This window comes from Homo sapiens, chromosome 21 (genome assembly GCF_000001405.40).
Source record: "Homo sapiens chromosome 21, GRCh38.p14 Primary Assembly".
NCBI lineage: Eukaryota > Metazoa > Chordata > Mammalia > Primates > Hominidae > Homo > Homo sapiens.
In genome coordinates this window covers 17,437,244-17,452,801 of record NC_000021.9, presented here as the reverse complement: position 1 = coordinate 17,452,801, position 15,558 = coordinate 17,437,244, and the positions used below count along the sequence as shown (strand labels likewise).

At 40.6% G+C, this 15,558-nt stretch overlaps 1 long non-coding RNA gene across 2 annotated transcripts, besides 1 other annotated feature; it reads right to left on the bottom strand.

The window, feature by feature from the left end:
• Window positions 1–3,616: 3,616 nt before the first annotated feature.
• LINC01549 (long intergenic non-protein coding RNA 1549) lies at window positions 3,617–13,912 on the bottom strand. Of its 2 annotated transcripts, none has more exons than NR_037585.1 (4): window positions 13,805–13,912; window positions 10,959–11,128; window positions 8,602–8,719; window positions 3,617–3,937 (listed from the first exon to the last, which is right to left on the bottom strand). It is a non-coding gene; the product is annotated as a long intergenic non-protein coding RNA 1549 (long non-coding RNA). The 2 variants fall into 2 exon arrangements; NR_037586.1 differs by having other exon boundaries at window positions 3,617–3,931.
• Window positions 13,700–14,283: an enhancer, noted in NCBI's record as "OCT4-NANOG hESC enhancer chr21:18810837-18811420 (GRCh37/hg19 assembly coordinates)". NCBI's record gives its function as "activates a minimal SCP1, AML or CMV promoter by ChIP-STARR-seq in naive H9 embryonic stem cells {active_cell/tissue: H9 hESC(naive)}" and the evidence as "EXISTENCE:reporter gene assay evidence [ECO:0000049][PMID:30033119]".

Sequence of the window (15,558 nt, the reverse complement as noted above, 5' to 3'; positions counted from 1 at the left end):
ATTAAGAAAATAATAAGGCAAGCAGTTTTATCCTGGATAAAACATTTTTTGGTGGGGTGGTGGGGGTAGGGGGTGCCCTGGTGAAGACTAAGCAATCTGTTAGACAAATTCTAAAAGAGCTGAGCTGTAACATTTTTATTTATTTATTTATTTATTTTTAAAATTATTTTAGATTTCAGTCTTGTTCGGGAGTGGTGGCTTATGCCTGTAATCCCAGCACTTTCAGAGGCCGAGGCCGGCAGATCACCTGAGGTCAGGAGTTCCAGACCAGCCTCACCAACATGGTGAAACCCCGTCTCTATTAAAAATATAAAAATTAGCTAGGTGTGGCGGCGTACGCCTGTAATTCTAGCTACTCGGGAAGCTGAGGCAGGAGAATCGCTTGAACCCAGGAGACGGAGGTTATAGTCAGCCGTGATCGCACCCCTGCACTCCAGCATGGGTGACAGAGGGAGACTCTGTCTCAGAAAAAAAAAAAAGATTTGAGTCTCACCATGTTGCCTAGGCTGGTTTCAAACTCCTGGCCTCAAGCAACCTTCCTACAGGCGCGAGCTACTGCTCCTGGAAAGACTATATTTCTTTAAATATTAGAATTTAAAGACCATCTGGGAATAGAGTTGGCTTGGAGGGAGGATGAAGAGATTGGAGCTGTTGATGGAAAACAAAACACCATCACATTTTTTCCCTTGCTCTTCTGCCAATAAATATCGGTTGACCTCCTGCATTGATCTCCCTCATTGCTATCCCCAATTTATTTTTTTTAATATTCTAAATGTGTAAGATAAACCTGAGAAATATTTGACCTCATGCAACAATGTAATTTCCATTCTCAGTTCCTCCAAATCAGGGAGCTGTCTATATTCTCATTTTTCAGGAGTAAGATTTGCAGATAACTGTAAATCCATGCTCACTAGCAGTGTAAAATTTATACAGAGGAAACTACAAGTAGATAGAGTTGTTGTTAAGTTCAGCTCTGTCTGATTTAGAAATGAATCTCGTGTTTGGATAATCTAGTCTTAGCTCATTCTATTTATTCAGCCAAGTTATTTCCTGCACAGATCCCTCCTTTGCCTGCCAACTGTAATCATTTTTTTCTTTTCATGTTAGTTCCCACTACTCCTATTTGAAGTGCCACCACATACAGCTTGCGGTTGCTTTACTTTCCATCTAGTTAATCTCACCCGTACTGGTCATCTAAACAAGCCAATTCTTCCCAATCTCTTGATTTTCTGATCATTCCTTCCATAATGAATCTATGATCTGATGAGTAACTTTAGTTATTTTTAGTGTGTCCCTTACTCACTCTCCTAAGTGACGTCACCTCTCATGTTGCCTCATCAGGAAAATGATTAGGCAACATGGAGTAGGATTAGATGGGGTGTCCTCAATTCTGGGTGCATATTAGAAGTATTTGGGGAACTTTAAAAAAATACTGCTTACCCGGGCCTGCTGGCTTATGCCTGTAATCCCAGCACCGTGGGAGGCTGAGGCAGGTGGATTGCTTGAGCTCAGGAGTTTGACACCAGCCTGAGCAACATAATGAGCCCCTGTCTCTACACACATGCACACACGCACACACACGCGCACACATGCACACACCCGCACATACACAGCTACTCCTTCACCACATAAGACAAGTGTAATCAAATTTTCTTAGCATAAGACCTGGGCGTTGTTGGCATTTTATTAAAAGCTCAGCCAGAGTTAGGAACCACAGGAAGAATGATTTTCACCTACCTTTCCAACTTTATGATTCCCTTATTCTCTTTTTTTAAAAAAATTTTTGTAGAGACGGGGATCTCCCTGTGTTGCCCAGATTGGGATCAAACTTCTGGGCTCAAGTGATCCTCCTGCCTCAGCCTCCCAAAGTATTGGGATTTCAGTCATGAGCCACTGAGCCCGGTTGATTCCCTTATTCTTTTTTTTTTTTTTTTTTTTTTTTTACATATTCTTGCTCTGTCAGACGGGCTGGAGTGCAATGGCGCGATCTCAGCTCACTGCAACCTCTGCAACCTCTGCCTCCCGGGTTCAAGCGATTCTCCTCCTCATCCTCCTGAGTAGCTGGGATTACAGGCGCCCGCCACTACGCCTGGCTGATTTTTGTATTTTTAATAGAGATGGGGTTTCAGTATGTTAGGCTGGTCTCGAACTCTTAACCTCACATGATTCGCTGGCCTCGGCCTTCCAAAGTGCTGGGATTATAGGCGTGAGCCACCACACCCGGCCCCTTAATATTATACTTACTGACTTGCACTGTTTTTCCTCTATAATTTTTATAAGACACTAAAGGAGACGGGCTTTCTTGATGTGATTCATTAACAGTTTGAATATGACTATTAATATCATACCCATAACATATGATATTAGTGAGATTATGTGACATCGTTATGTGACATTTTAACCACAAGGGTATTAAGAAAAATAAATACAGTAGGGAGCAGAGCTTGAGCCCACATTTCTTAAGAAGTTAAAAAAGAAGCTTATGTTTTTTGCATAACATCTTTAATGCTTCCATATGCTAAATGCTGAATGTACAATTAAGATGCCTTCCGTGGTGTCTCTGCTGAGGGAGACAGTCAAGAAAACCAGTGATTCAGAGAGGCGTGCATGAGATGCGATGGCAAAAAAAAGAACTACCTGTCTCAGACTGGGACGCAGGGGACGATTTCCACACTCCTATGTCTGAAGAGTACTATACAAGTATCTAGAGGAAAAGGGGGTGGAAGTTGAAGGGTAGTGAGACAGGAATAATACAGGGTGGTGGTAGGAGAATAGAAAATTCTAGGCAGCAGTTTCACATGACTAGCAAAAAGGAAACTGTTGAAATAGCTGCATAAACTAGGGGCTGATACTTTGCAAACCAGGGTGTAGACCAAGCTGGCTGAGGCTGACTGGACCCAACATGGTGCTGGATTTCACCTAGGTCTCATGAGGACTTCACTGTACATTCATTAACATACTAAATTACATACCCACCAATGCCATGACACTTCTGGGAACACCCATATTTGGTGTAAAAATGGGTGGCACCACAGTTCCAAGAAATCTTCACCTTTTTTCCAGAAATCTTCATGAATATTTCACCCTTTGGCTAAAGAAACCCATAAAGATAGCAGCCCCAAGCCCCTCTGGGAGTGTCTCTCTCTTGAGTAGGCCTGAACTGCACTTCCGTGGAGATTCACTTTGCAGTAAATCTTCATACAGTCACTGTTTTCTGACTCGTCGTCTTTGGATTCCTTCTATATCGGTGTCAGGTGCCTGGACATTAGCAGGGGTCAGGGTCTCACCAGTATTTGGGGACCTCCCCCAGCCAACTGATACCGTGGGTTGACAGGTAAGATGTCCTCTGAGAAGTGCAAGGAGTTCAGCGAAATGTGGGCAGTTTGGGATGACAAGGATACAGAGGTTATGGAAGGGGCATATCGCGAAGGAGCTTATTTCAAATTCATTCACCAGATATTCTCTCTTCACCTCACTATAGCTTAATGGAATTGCTCCACCTCACCTTTTACGAGAACCAGTACGACATTAGTTAAATATTTTCAGAAGTGTATACTACTGAAATAAATTGAAACAAAAATGAAGTCTTTGGGAAAGAAAATAACTCAAAACATGCTTATAATAGACTCCCGATTTGGTGAAACTTTTATTCATGTTGCAACGTTTTTAAAATTTGTTTTCATTTTTCTTTGACCCATATCATTGTTATACTAGAGCTTAACTTCTTATCTCAAAATATAATTCCTTATTTTTCCTGTTCTAGGAACTATTTGGCTAAATTATTTTTCTTCATAGTCATTGGGATTATAAGTACAAGGATGCTTTCTACACATGTATGTTTCAGCTTAAAATGAATAGCCCTTGAGCATGTTGCATGATGTCTGCCTTCTCCGTCACTCTGTAATTTCTCTCTTTTTCTCTCTCTCATCTTCTGTATCTGCAAAAAATAAATCTGTGGTAATTTTCATCACTCATTAAGCTCATATTGATTTCTGCCTCTCCTGGAATTTATGGTACTGGATGCATTTTAATTTTTAAATAAAAGTGCCCCAAATTATTTTGTATTATTTTCTAACTATCTTATTAATTTTGCCTGTCTACATGATAGTAATATAATAATGGTTAGAATATTAAGACACATGAAGCAAGAAAATATTTTTCAAATTAATTAATTTTATTATTTTATTTTATCTTTATTTTTTATGAGATGGGGTCTCACTATGTTGCTCAGGGTGGTCCCAAACTCCTGAGCTCAAGCGATTCTTCCACCTTGGCCTCCCAAAGTGCTGGGATTACAGCCACCATGCCCTACCTAGAAAACCTTAAAGATTAGAAAAATAGAAGGACGCCGGGCACTGTGGTTCATGCCTGTAATCCCGGCACTTTGGGAGGCTGAGGTGGGCAGATTACGAGGTCAGGAGATCAAGACCATCCTGGCTAAAAAGGTGAAACCCCGTGTCTACTAAAAAAAAAATACAAAAATTAGCCAGGCATGGCAGCGGGCACCTGTAGTCCCAGCTACTCGGGAGGCTGAGGCAGGAGAATGGCGTGAACCTGGGAGGTGGAGCTTGCAGTGAGCCAAGATAGTGCCACTGCACTCCAGCCTGGGCAACAGAGCGAGACTCCGACTCAAAAAAAAAAAAAAAAAAAAAAAAAAAATAGAAGGACTGAAATTTCTAGCTATTATAATATGTTAAAATGTTCAATAAATAGACCTGCACTTTATTGGTGTTAGAAATGACTTGTAGATCAGTACAATAGAATGAACAGCCCATAAACATGTCTAAGTTTATTTAAGTGTTTAAAAAGAAGATAATTCAAATTTAGTATGGATCAGTAGACTGGTATCTCAAAGGACTTTGACAAATCCAGTATTTCTTCCTAGTTTAAAAATAAAAGCAAACAAAGCAAATATACAGATAAGGAACTTAAACCATCACTAAATAGGAATAAATGTAAAGTCTTTGAAATTAAAATTGCGTGTGTATGTGTGTATATGTTTAAACTATATGTCAAAGCCAGTATCGTTTTTCATGGAAGCATTAAAAGATTTTGCAATGGAAGGCAAAGAAGTCCATCATCACTACTAGTACTCCTAATTTAGTGGTACTACTCAATGTAATTACTCAATGTAATTACACGTGAGAAAGTAGTAAGAGGTATGAATACTTGAAAGAGGAGACACAATTATTGTTTGCAGATAATAATATATCAATTAAAACAGAAGAAACAATGAGATAAATCAGTAAGCTAGTTGACTTCACACACACAAAAGTATCTAAATCAATAGTTTTTCTTTATATAAAGAAGGCTTGATTAGATAATATAGTGGAGTAAAGTTACCAACTGCAGTAGCAACCAGAGAAGAAAAAATTATTAGAAAAAGAGCTGAGCATGATGCCACACATCTGTAATCCCAGCTACTCAGGAGGCTGAGGTGGGAGGATTGCCCTAGCTCAGGAGTTTGAGATCAGCTTGGGCAATATAGCACAAGACTGTCTCGAAAAAAACCCAAAACCAAAACCAAAACAAACAAACAAACAAAAAACAGAAAGAAAGATAAGAAAAAAAAACTAGAAAGAAAATTGACAAGAAATGGGCAGAAACTAGGTGAAGAAAAGTTAACACTCTTGAAGGATTTAACAGACAAGGATCTGAAGAAATACTCTAATACAAACTGCTGGAGCTGGGCGTGATATCTCAAAGGGCATGTTTAAAACAAGTTTAGATGATTGCTAAATTTTCTTCTGAGGAGGGCAATTTCTGGTAACTGGAGGGCCCTTTGTTTGGCTGAGCATCAAGGCAAGTTTGAGGAAGCAAGTTGAACAGAAGAACTGATTTGTTTGCCAGCCACCCTCTACCCCAGTCCCAGATATAACAGATAATGAGTAAGAACAGACATGTCTATGAGGGATTTTTTTCTGTGAGATGTGTTTTGCAAAACCTGTTTTCCACCTTCTCTATGAAAACTCCGGTGATGTTTACATGTTCACTGAGGTTTTTACATTAGAGGATTATTTAAGAGCTTCAAAGACAGGCTGAGTTCACGTATCCTGGTAGTCATAAGGTAAGGGATGAACACAAATGCAGCTATATATGGTCTTGGTGTTCCCTCCTGGTCCCTCAAATTAGGAGACACCTGAAATCTGGGTTTGTTAATTAACTAATTAATTTTTATTTATTTATTTTTGAGACAGAGTGTCGCTTTATCACCCAGGCTGGAGTGCAATGGCCTGATCTCAGCTCACTGCAACCTCCGCCTCCTGGGTTCATGCGATTTTCCTGCCTCAGTCTCCCAAGTAGCTGGGATTACAGGCATGTGCTGCCACAGCCAGCTAATCTTGTGTTTTTAGTAGAGACGGGGTTTCACCATGTTGGCTAGGCTGTTCTTGAACTCCTGACCTCAGGTAATTCATCCTCTTCAGCCTCCCAAAGTGTTAGGATTACAGGCGTGAGCCACTGCACCTGGCCAGAAGGCTGTTTATTGTAGAATTAATTATAATTATAGAAGTTGAAAAGAATTCAAGCAATCAATCATAGGGTATTAGTTAAATAACTTATAATACATCCACTTAAGAGAATACTATGTACCCATTAACAATGATGTGGTATGCTGGGCGCAGTGGCTCAGGCCTGTAATCACAGCACTTTGGGAGGCCAAGGTGGGAGGATTGCTTGAGCTCAGGAGTTGGAGGCCAGCCTGGGCAACATGGTGAAACCCTGTCTCTACCAAAAATACAAACAATTAGCCAGGCATGGTGGCACATCTGTGATTCCAGCTATTCAGGAGGCTGAGGTGGGAGGATTGCTTGAGCCCAGGAGGTAGAGGTTGCGGTGAACTGAGATCACGCCACTGCACTCCAGCCTGAGCACCACAGAGAGATCCTGTCTCAAAACAACAACAACAACAACAACAACAAAAGCACCCCAAAAAACAACCAATGATGTGGTAAATATTTATATACTGACATAGTGATTTGTTGTTAGGTAACAAAGACAATTTCTACAACACAATATAATTTATGATATTTTGGTAGGAAAAATTTATCCATGTGTATCAGGTACCATATATATCAGGTCCCATGGAACCGTAGTCTATAAATGTATGCATGTTTAGGAGGCGGAATTATGGGGGATTGGAATGCTTTCTATGCTTCTCTATGTTTTCTGTTTTTTAAATGAAATAAACTCGTATGATGATGATGAGGGTGAAACAAGCAAGACAAATGTGCCCATCAAATCTTTTAGGGCTCTAATATCTTACTACTCCTTGAAAAATATTTGTGTTATGTTTTCCCTTCATCTTAGTTTATAACTTTTTTTCTTTTTGAGACGGAGTCTGGCTCTGTCGCCCAGGATGGAGTGCGGTGGTGCGATCTCGGCTCACTGCAAGCTCCGCCTCCCGGGTTCACGCCATTCTCCTGCCTCAGCCTCCCGAGTAGCTGGGACTACAGGCGCCCGCCACCACGCCCGGCTAATTTTTTGTATTTTTAGTAGAGACGGGGTTTCACCATGTTAGCCAGGATGGTCTCGATCTCCTGACCTTGTGATCTGCTCACCTCGGCCTCCCAAAGTGCTGGGATTACAAGTGTGAGCCACCGCCCCCGGCCCTTAGTCTACTCATTTAAAAAGAGGCAAGAGTTTCTCTCCCTCTCCTTCGGGGAGCTGCAGCTTTCCTTGTATTTTTTGGCATGAACAAGCTGTAGGAAGGGTGGATCAGTGCCTTCCTGCAAACCCCAGCAGTGTTTCAGGTAAGAACGTTACTGTTTTGGCACCTGTTCCAACACAATCACCCAGGGCAATTCCAGTGCCAAAAACTTTCTCAATGTGTGTGGGTATATAACATTCTGGGAAGTGACCTAGCTAATCACACATGGACATAAATATGGGAAAAGCTAATCACACGTGGACATAAATATGGGAAAAGACACTACAGACTATTACAAGGTGGGGAGTGGGAGGGTTGAAAAACCTATGTTGTGGTATGCTTACTACCTGGGTGATGGAATTCGAACCCCAAACCTCAGCATCATGCAATATTCCCATGCAACTAACCAGCACATCTACCTCTGTATCTGAAATAAAAGTTGAAGTTTAAAAAAAACAGGAAAAAGAAAGCCAAACGTGAGTGGGCTGGGTGGCTCATGCCTGTAATCTCAGCACTTTGGAAGGCTGAGGCGAGAGGATTGCTTGAGGCCAGAAGTTCAAGACCAGCCTGGGTGGCCGGGCACGGTGGCTCATGCCTGTAATCCCAGCACTTTGGGAGGCCGAGGTGGGTGGATCACAAGGTCAGGAGTTCAAGACCAGCCTGGCCAAGATGGTGAAACCCTGTCTCTACTAAAAATACAAAAAAAATTAGCCAGCTGTGGTGGCAGGTGCTTGTAATCCCAGCTACTCAGGAGGTGAGGCAGAGAATTGCTTGAACCCAGGAGGCGGAGGTTGCAGTGAGCCGAGATCAAGCCACTGCACTCCAGCCTGGGCAACACAGCAAGACTCTGTCTCAAAAAAAAAAAAAAAAAAGACCAGCCTCGGCAACATAGTGAGACCTCATCTCTACTAAAAATAAAAATTAAAAGATTAGGGGACTGTGGTGGCATGTACCTGTAGTCTCAACTACCCAGAAGGCTGAGGCAGGAGGATTAGTTGAGTCCAGGAGATCGAGGCTGCAGTGAGCTGTGATTGCACCACTGTACTCCAGCCTAGGTGACAGAATAAGACTCTGTATAAAAAAGAAGAAAAGGAAAAAAAAAAGAAAGCTAAACATGAGCTGTTAGGCATGGCTGCACATACACACACACACACACACACACACACACACACACACACACACACACATTTTCCGACTTTTTTCAGACATTTTCAGACTGCTTTCGGTCTTGAAACTAGGCCAGTATGCCGACTACATGGGATGTTACATCATTTTTCTTGCTACTTTTCTATGTATTTTGCAAGCTGAATCAGTGTTCGCAGATACTCTTGCGTTTCAGTCCGAGTAAGATAGTCTTTAAGATACCTTTTAATATGCACGTTGAAAAGATAGAATGTATGATGCTGAGATTACAGGGATTGAGAAAGGCAAAGTATGTGAATCAGGTAGGCCAGTTCTCTGGCTTTGTAATTTGACATTTTAAATGAGTAGCACATCCTTTAACCAACAAAGTTATGGGGTAGCCTAGAAAGAGAAACCACTTGAATTTTAAATAGAGGATACAGAGAAGAGGACAGAATCTTCCCTGTGAACTATCTTAGCAGCATCTGGTTCTTTTGAGGTACTTTGAATGTGTTAGAGCTTAGAAACGGATACCCCAAAATATGGCACTTTGACATGCTGAACTGAAAAAGAAGCCTCAAGGTCTCTTGGACCTCCTCCCTGTCCTGTCTCTTAATCCTCCTTGCAGGATGAAGTTGTCCCCTGAAATTCCTTATTTGCCTACATTTTGGACCTGACAATGAAGAAAACAATTACTTCTGGCCCCTTCCCTGAGTTTTTATTAACTGAACTCATGGGAAGAAAGACTGAATTCTATCAACACGCCTGGACAGACTGGTCACAAACTATTGTCTGCTCTGCTGGCCCAAAAGACTTTATCCCAGGCCACTGTAGGTTCTCCAGGCCCATCGAAATCCCCTAAAAATCATCTACACGTCTCTATCTGTCTTTCCCCTAAGAAGTATATACAACCATCTGTACCTCACTGGGATATTGGACAATCATTCTGTGATTCTCCCTCATGCTCACTAACACATCTGTAGGCCATTTTGCCTATTAATCTGCCTTTTGTCAGTTGATTTTTCAGTAAGCCTTCAGATGGCAAAGAGAAGTTTTTCCTTGATCCCTATAAATTTATAGTAGAATGTATGCTATAAAAGACCTGATAGCCCCATTGTCATGGATGACATTTCTCTCATGTGGGTGTGCCAACTCGTGCAGATGACAATTTTATAAATGTGTGTGCTCCTGTGAATTAGACTGTTATAGTAACATTAAACTGCTAAAGAACTTCACCTACTTTCTGGATTTGCAAGTAAATAATTTGGCTATTTTTTTTTTCAGTCTAAAGGCAGATAGCTGATAAGCTACATGAATTGGCCCAGTGGATTAAGTAATTTTTCATAATGCCTGATTACTAGTTTCTGAGAGTAGGATATCTAGAGAAGGAGTTTTTGGGGGAGATAGGAACAGAGGCTGATCAGTTTATTTCTTTATGCTTTGACCTCCTCTAAGAAAAATGCTGGCTGCTACAAAAGTTTCTATCTTAACATTTTTCTGCAAGTTTGTTATTACCATTTATGAACTCCCCATTTCCCACAGAGGAAGGAAAGAATAGACAGAACTGAGTGATAAACTAGACAAAGGGAATGGCTTAGTAGGACATGGCTTCTGCCTTTTGTGTTTCCAGTATTTGTCTACTGCTAAGGAAATCAGTATGTGGCACATAACTGGGGCAAAGGATTCAACACTCAGCACTTCGAGCAAGAAGTCACCATCATTAGCATTATTGTGGCAGCTACAAGGAGACGCCCAACAATTTACTGCAAATGACATAAAATAGATACACTGACTCCCAGCTGGATTTTTACTATTTTTGTCCACATTCTGAGGGCTATCAAAATACTTTTTAATTCACTTCCAGACCATCCCAACTTCTACAATGACTCTTTCTCTCTACAACCAGCTAAATTTAATTTCATTATGATTTGCCAAAGGTTAACTGAGAAAAGTAACAGCCAAGAATTAAGAAAACAGGTATAACATGAAAGAGGGAAAAAATCATTTATTTTGAAGGGTGGCCTGACCAAGCAACATGGCTCCAGAGTGGAATGAAAGAGATAAAAATAGGAAGACGATTGGGTGAAGCAGAAAAAAAAAAAACAGAAGCAGTAGAAACAGATCAATGAGAATGTGTTTCTAGAGCCTATTATGTTTCTGAAGTTGAAGTGATAAACATATTGCATACCCTTTGTTCTAGAGACCTTTCAAAGGACAGAATTCCTTTTCTCAAGCATTGAGCTCTCTCCATCTTTAGAGTCTTTTCAGTCTGTTTCACACAGTGTCAGAAGAAGGTTGCCTCAAAAGTTGGTAGAATTACTGTAATTCCCTCCATGACAGTAGTAAAGTTGGATCCTGCTGATTAGAGCAAAACACAAAAGCTCACTTCCAGAGAACTGTGATCTTCTCATAAAACAGTTGGCATCGCCTGAAAGGGAGGTATTGTTGGTAGGTAAGCCAATGTCCTAGGGCCTGGGACTCAGCCAGCATCTCATGTAACAACCATGCTGCCTATCCACTTTTGTTTGTTTTCCCAGACAAAAATGATTGCAACACATTTCAGAGCCAATGCAAAAACTCTGCCTTTGTAATATGCTGACTTGCTGTCAATAATTAGATGTTCTAAATTGCTACACTAGACAATGAGGTCCAACTTAAAAAAAAATACAAAAACCCAGTTAAAAGCTCAATTGGCCAAGAGGTTATTTCTGCAAAATGATCACCAGTGGTTTTTTTCTTTTCTTTTATTTTTTGTGGGGGGCGGGTGTGGAGTAGATGAAATGTGTCCAGAGAAGAAAAAAAAATCATACTTCTGTAAATATTTTCTTAACTTCCTTTTGCCAGGCAGCTCTGGTTTAGTGAGACATACACTAGGTTAAATTTCAAAACACTTGGATACTAACTGTGCTACTTTGGAGCAAGCCATTTAATCTCCCTGAGGCCCAGATCATTCATCTATAAAGTGAGAATAGTAATACTTCGACTGACCACGTCACAGTATGATTAAATATCCAATGATATATTGTACATGAAAGCATTTATCAACTGCAAGTCATGATACTAATGTGAGGACTGTAGAGTTGCCTTTATTTTCCTCAGAGCAGATTTAATTCTGGGGTGCTGGAGAGAAGTAGGAGAGGTTCAGCTCCAGCTCTATCTCATTTCCCCACGTCTGAGAGGCTGGAAGAGAAAGGAGTGGATCTTGAGTTGGCAACTCCCATTTCTCCATCAGCAGAAAGAGAAAACTGGTTTTCAGGTTTCCTCCTACCCCATGAAGTAAGAGTCCCTTCCTCTAAATATTAAAGAAATTTATTAACTATCTAGATTTTCCTTGACTTTTGCTTCTTTATCTAGGCTATGTTGTTCAATATGACAGCCACTAGTGATTTGTGGTTACTGAACTCAAGAAATATGGTTAATCAAAATTGAGATGTGCTGTTAGTGAAGAATACATGCCAGGTTTTGAAGATAATAGTCCAAAAATACCTGAAAGAATGTAAAATATCTCACTAATGTTTTTTATGTTGATTTCACATTGTAAAGATAATATTTTAGATATATTAGATTGTACAAGATATGTTGTTAAAAATAAATTTTATGTTTCTTTTGACTTTTTCAATTGTAGCTACTATAGTTTAAAATTTTATATTTTATATCACTTTATATGTCTTTTTTTTTTTCCAAGATGGAGTCTTGCTCTATTGCCCAGGCTGGAGTGCAGTGGTGTGATCTCGGCTCACTGCAACCTCTGTCTCCCAGGATCAAGCGATTCTCCTGCCTTAGCCTCCCGAGTAGCTGGGATTACAAGTGTGTTCCACCACTCCTGGCTAATTTTTTGCATTTTTAGTAGAGATGGGGTTTCACCATGTTGGCCAAGCTGGTCTCAAACTCCTGACCTCAGGTGATCCACCCACCTTGGCCTCCCAAACTGCTGGGATTACAGGCATGAGCCACCGCACCCAGCCTCACTTTATATTTCTATTGGATTTGGACAATCAGAGAGGAAGGAAAAACCCGAGTCCCCAGTAGCCTTATTTCATGCCTCTTTCTTTCCATTTTTCAGTCTCTCTCCACCCTCATGCGTTCCAGGTATTGGGAAGTCAATTCTTTTGAGACAAACATCAAGAAACCAAAGAAAGATCAATAGGAAGATCATTTCATCACATTTATAGCACATGGCACCAAATAGACAGTCAGCATCCATTCAGTCAATCAATCATGCATTTAATTAAAATGAAGAATACAGAAATTTGGCAATCTCATGTCCTGAAAAAACAGATACACTAGGAATGAGTAATTTCTCTTTTCACTCTTACAAGTTCTGAAAAGGAGGAGATACTATGATTAGGCTATGAACTATACTGTGTATAGTCACTTATTAAAATCTTATTTTATATAATGGCTATCTGTAGGCATTTAAAAAAAACTCCCTTCTAAAGGTCTAGATATCTTGAGGTCAATAAATGTGCTCTGTATCCAATAAGTACTGAGCAAATGTTGTTGAATATAATGAATAAAATAAATGATATAATCAGTCTATCACTTTATCTTTCTAACCAAAATTAAAATTTGAAGCTAAAATGTTGTATGGTTGATTCGATGATGATATAGGCATTAAAACATGAGTTGTGCCTTAAGGTATGCTTTGCTTTTATCTGATAAAACAATCTTATTTAAATTTTTTTTTTTTAAATAATAGAGACTGGGTCTCAATATGTTGCCCAGGCTGGTTTTGAATTCCTGGGCTCAAGCAATCCTTCTGCCTCAGATTCCAAAAGTGCTGGATTACAGGTGTGAGCCACCACACCCAGCCAAAAAAATCTTATTTTTAAGTCACTTCAAAAAGTAACCCATTTGAGAGTGAATAAATTCTTCCCAGATTAAATCCTGGCTGATGAAGAACACTTATTCCTAAAATAAAATCCCCATCCATTTTTGTCATCTCAGCAACCATCTAAAAATTGTCCCAGGAACAAACTGATTCACCCTATATGAAATAACAGAATAACAGAGAAGAACGATAATCCCATTAACCTGGTAGATCCGGAATGAAATGCAGCTGGAGGATGGAGCAGATTGGAGGTGGGAACAGGGAACACTCAGCAGGCTCCCAGCCCCGAACACCCCTGGAGTCTCAACAGCCTCAATCCATCTGGAAGGGAGGGCTTGGGGGAAGGGCTGAGCATGGCTGCAGGGATCAAAGCTAAGCAGGGGAAAACAGCTAGAGCACTGTCTGCTCTTTGAGCAAAGATAATAGAGTCCTCTCTGTGGTGAAGAGAATGAACACACAGGAAGATTTAAAAACACAACAAACCCGGAGCCGATCAGATTCCTTTATTCCATACCTCAAACTCATCAGGCTTGTCCTCAATTCAGAGTCTCTCTATATTGAATTACAGGGTTAGAAAAATAAAGGGCATCCCATTGAGTGCTTTTCAAACAGTGGGTTGCCACTCTTTAGTGTGAGAGAATCAATTCAGTGGGTGGAGGTTTGCATTTAGAAACTGAAATAAATTAGAATGGAAAATAGAAGGAATTGCATGGAAAAGGGATAAATATTGTTTCATGAATTTTTTGGTGTGTGTGTGTTTGGTACAGGTAAAATACATCTTACTGTAGGCATTAGCCAAACTGTGAAACTGAAAATTAGTCAACTCTATCTCCCTCCCGTATTATTATGGGTTATTAAAATCAGTTCTTCAGGCCTTCAGGAATAGGCTTTTTAGAACCTCCACAGCTAATTCTCTGTTGAGGTATTCCTCCTGCATTCTAGAAATATAGACAATGTCACAGACTCAGTGCAAACCATCCTGAAAAATAGCTCCAGGATCAGGCATTGCATTATGAGGAAGCTAATACTGTTTGTCAGAATCTGAGGGCAGCCTCCCTTTAAAGACCCTAATTAAGGAGAGGGAATGAAGAAAAAATGGTAATAGCATGCCTCAAATGTGAGGCTGCCTCTTGGCCACTATTCATTAGAAAGCCCACAAACTGTGGGCTCTATTTAAGGAACGTCTGGGATGGTTTTGGGCGGGGAAGCAAAACAGACCCAGTCAAATACTTCCCCTTTTATTCTCAACTCTGTTGTCAGCTTACTTTTCTCACCTTGATTTATTTCTTGAAATTTTAGTCAAATTCATTGACAATTTGCCTTATGATTCACAAAGTAGATGAGAGTGAATAGAGAAGCGACCTGACAGAGAAGAGAGCAGGACTATTTAAAAGATTCTGGCAAGAGGTGAGAACATTCCTCGATCCACTATAGAAAACCACCAGTGATCAAACAAACACAGTGAATTCCATTTCTAGGTCTCAAGGAATTAAGCATAACATTCAAAGTTGACTAGATAAAGGAAAGATTTATTATTACTATTATTTTGAGATGGAGTTTCACCCTTGTCATCTAGGGTGGAGTGCAGTGGCCGGATCTCGGCTCACTGCAATCTTCGCCTCCCGGGTTCAAGCGATTCTTCTGCCTCAGCCTCCTGGGTAGCTGGGATTCCAGCTACCCGCCACCACGCCGGGCTAATTTTTGTTTTTGTAGTTGAGAAGGGGTTTCGCCATGTTGGCCAGGCTGGTCTCAAACTCCTGACCTCAGGTGATCCACACGTCTTGGCCTCCCAAAGTGCTGGGATTACAGTTGTGAGCCACTGCGCCTGGTCAAGGAAAGATTATTAATGACAGACTTCATTGCGTTCTGCAAAGCTGAAAGGCAAGGAAAGAACTGGGGGATGGAGGGGGGATTTCCCTAAAAGAAGTCCTAGTAAAGTTGTATATCAAGAAAAAGG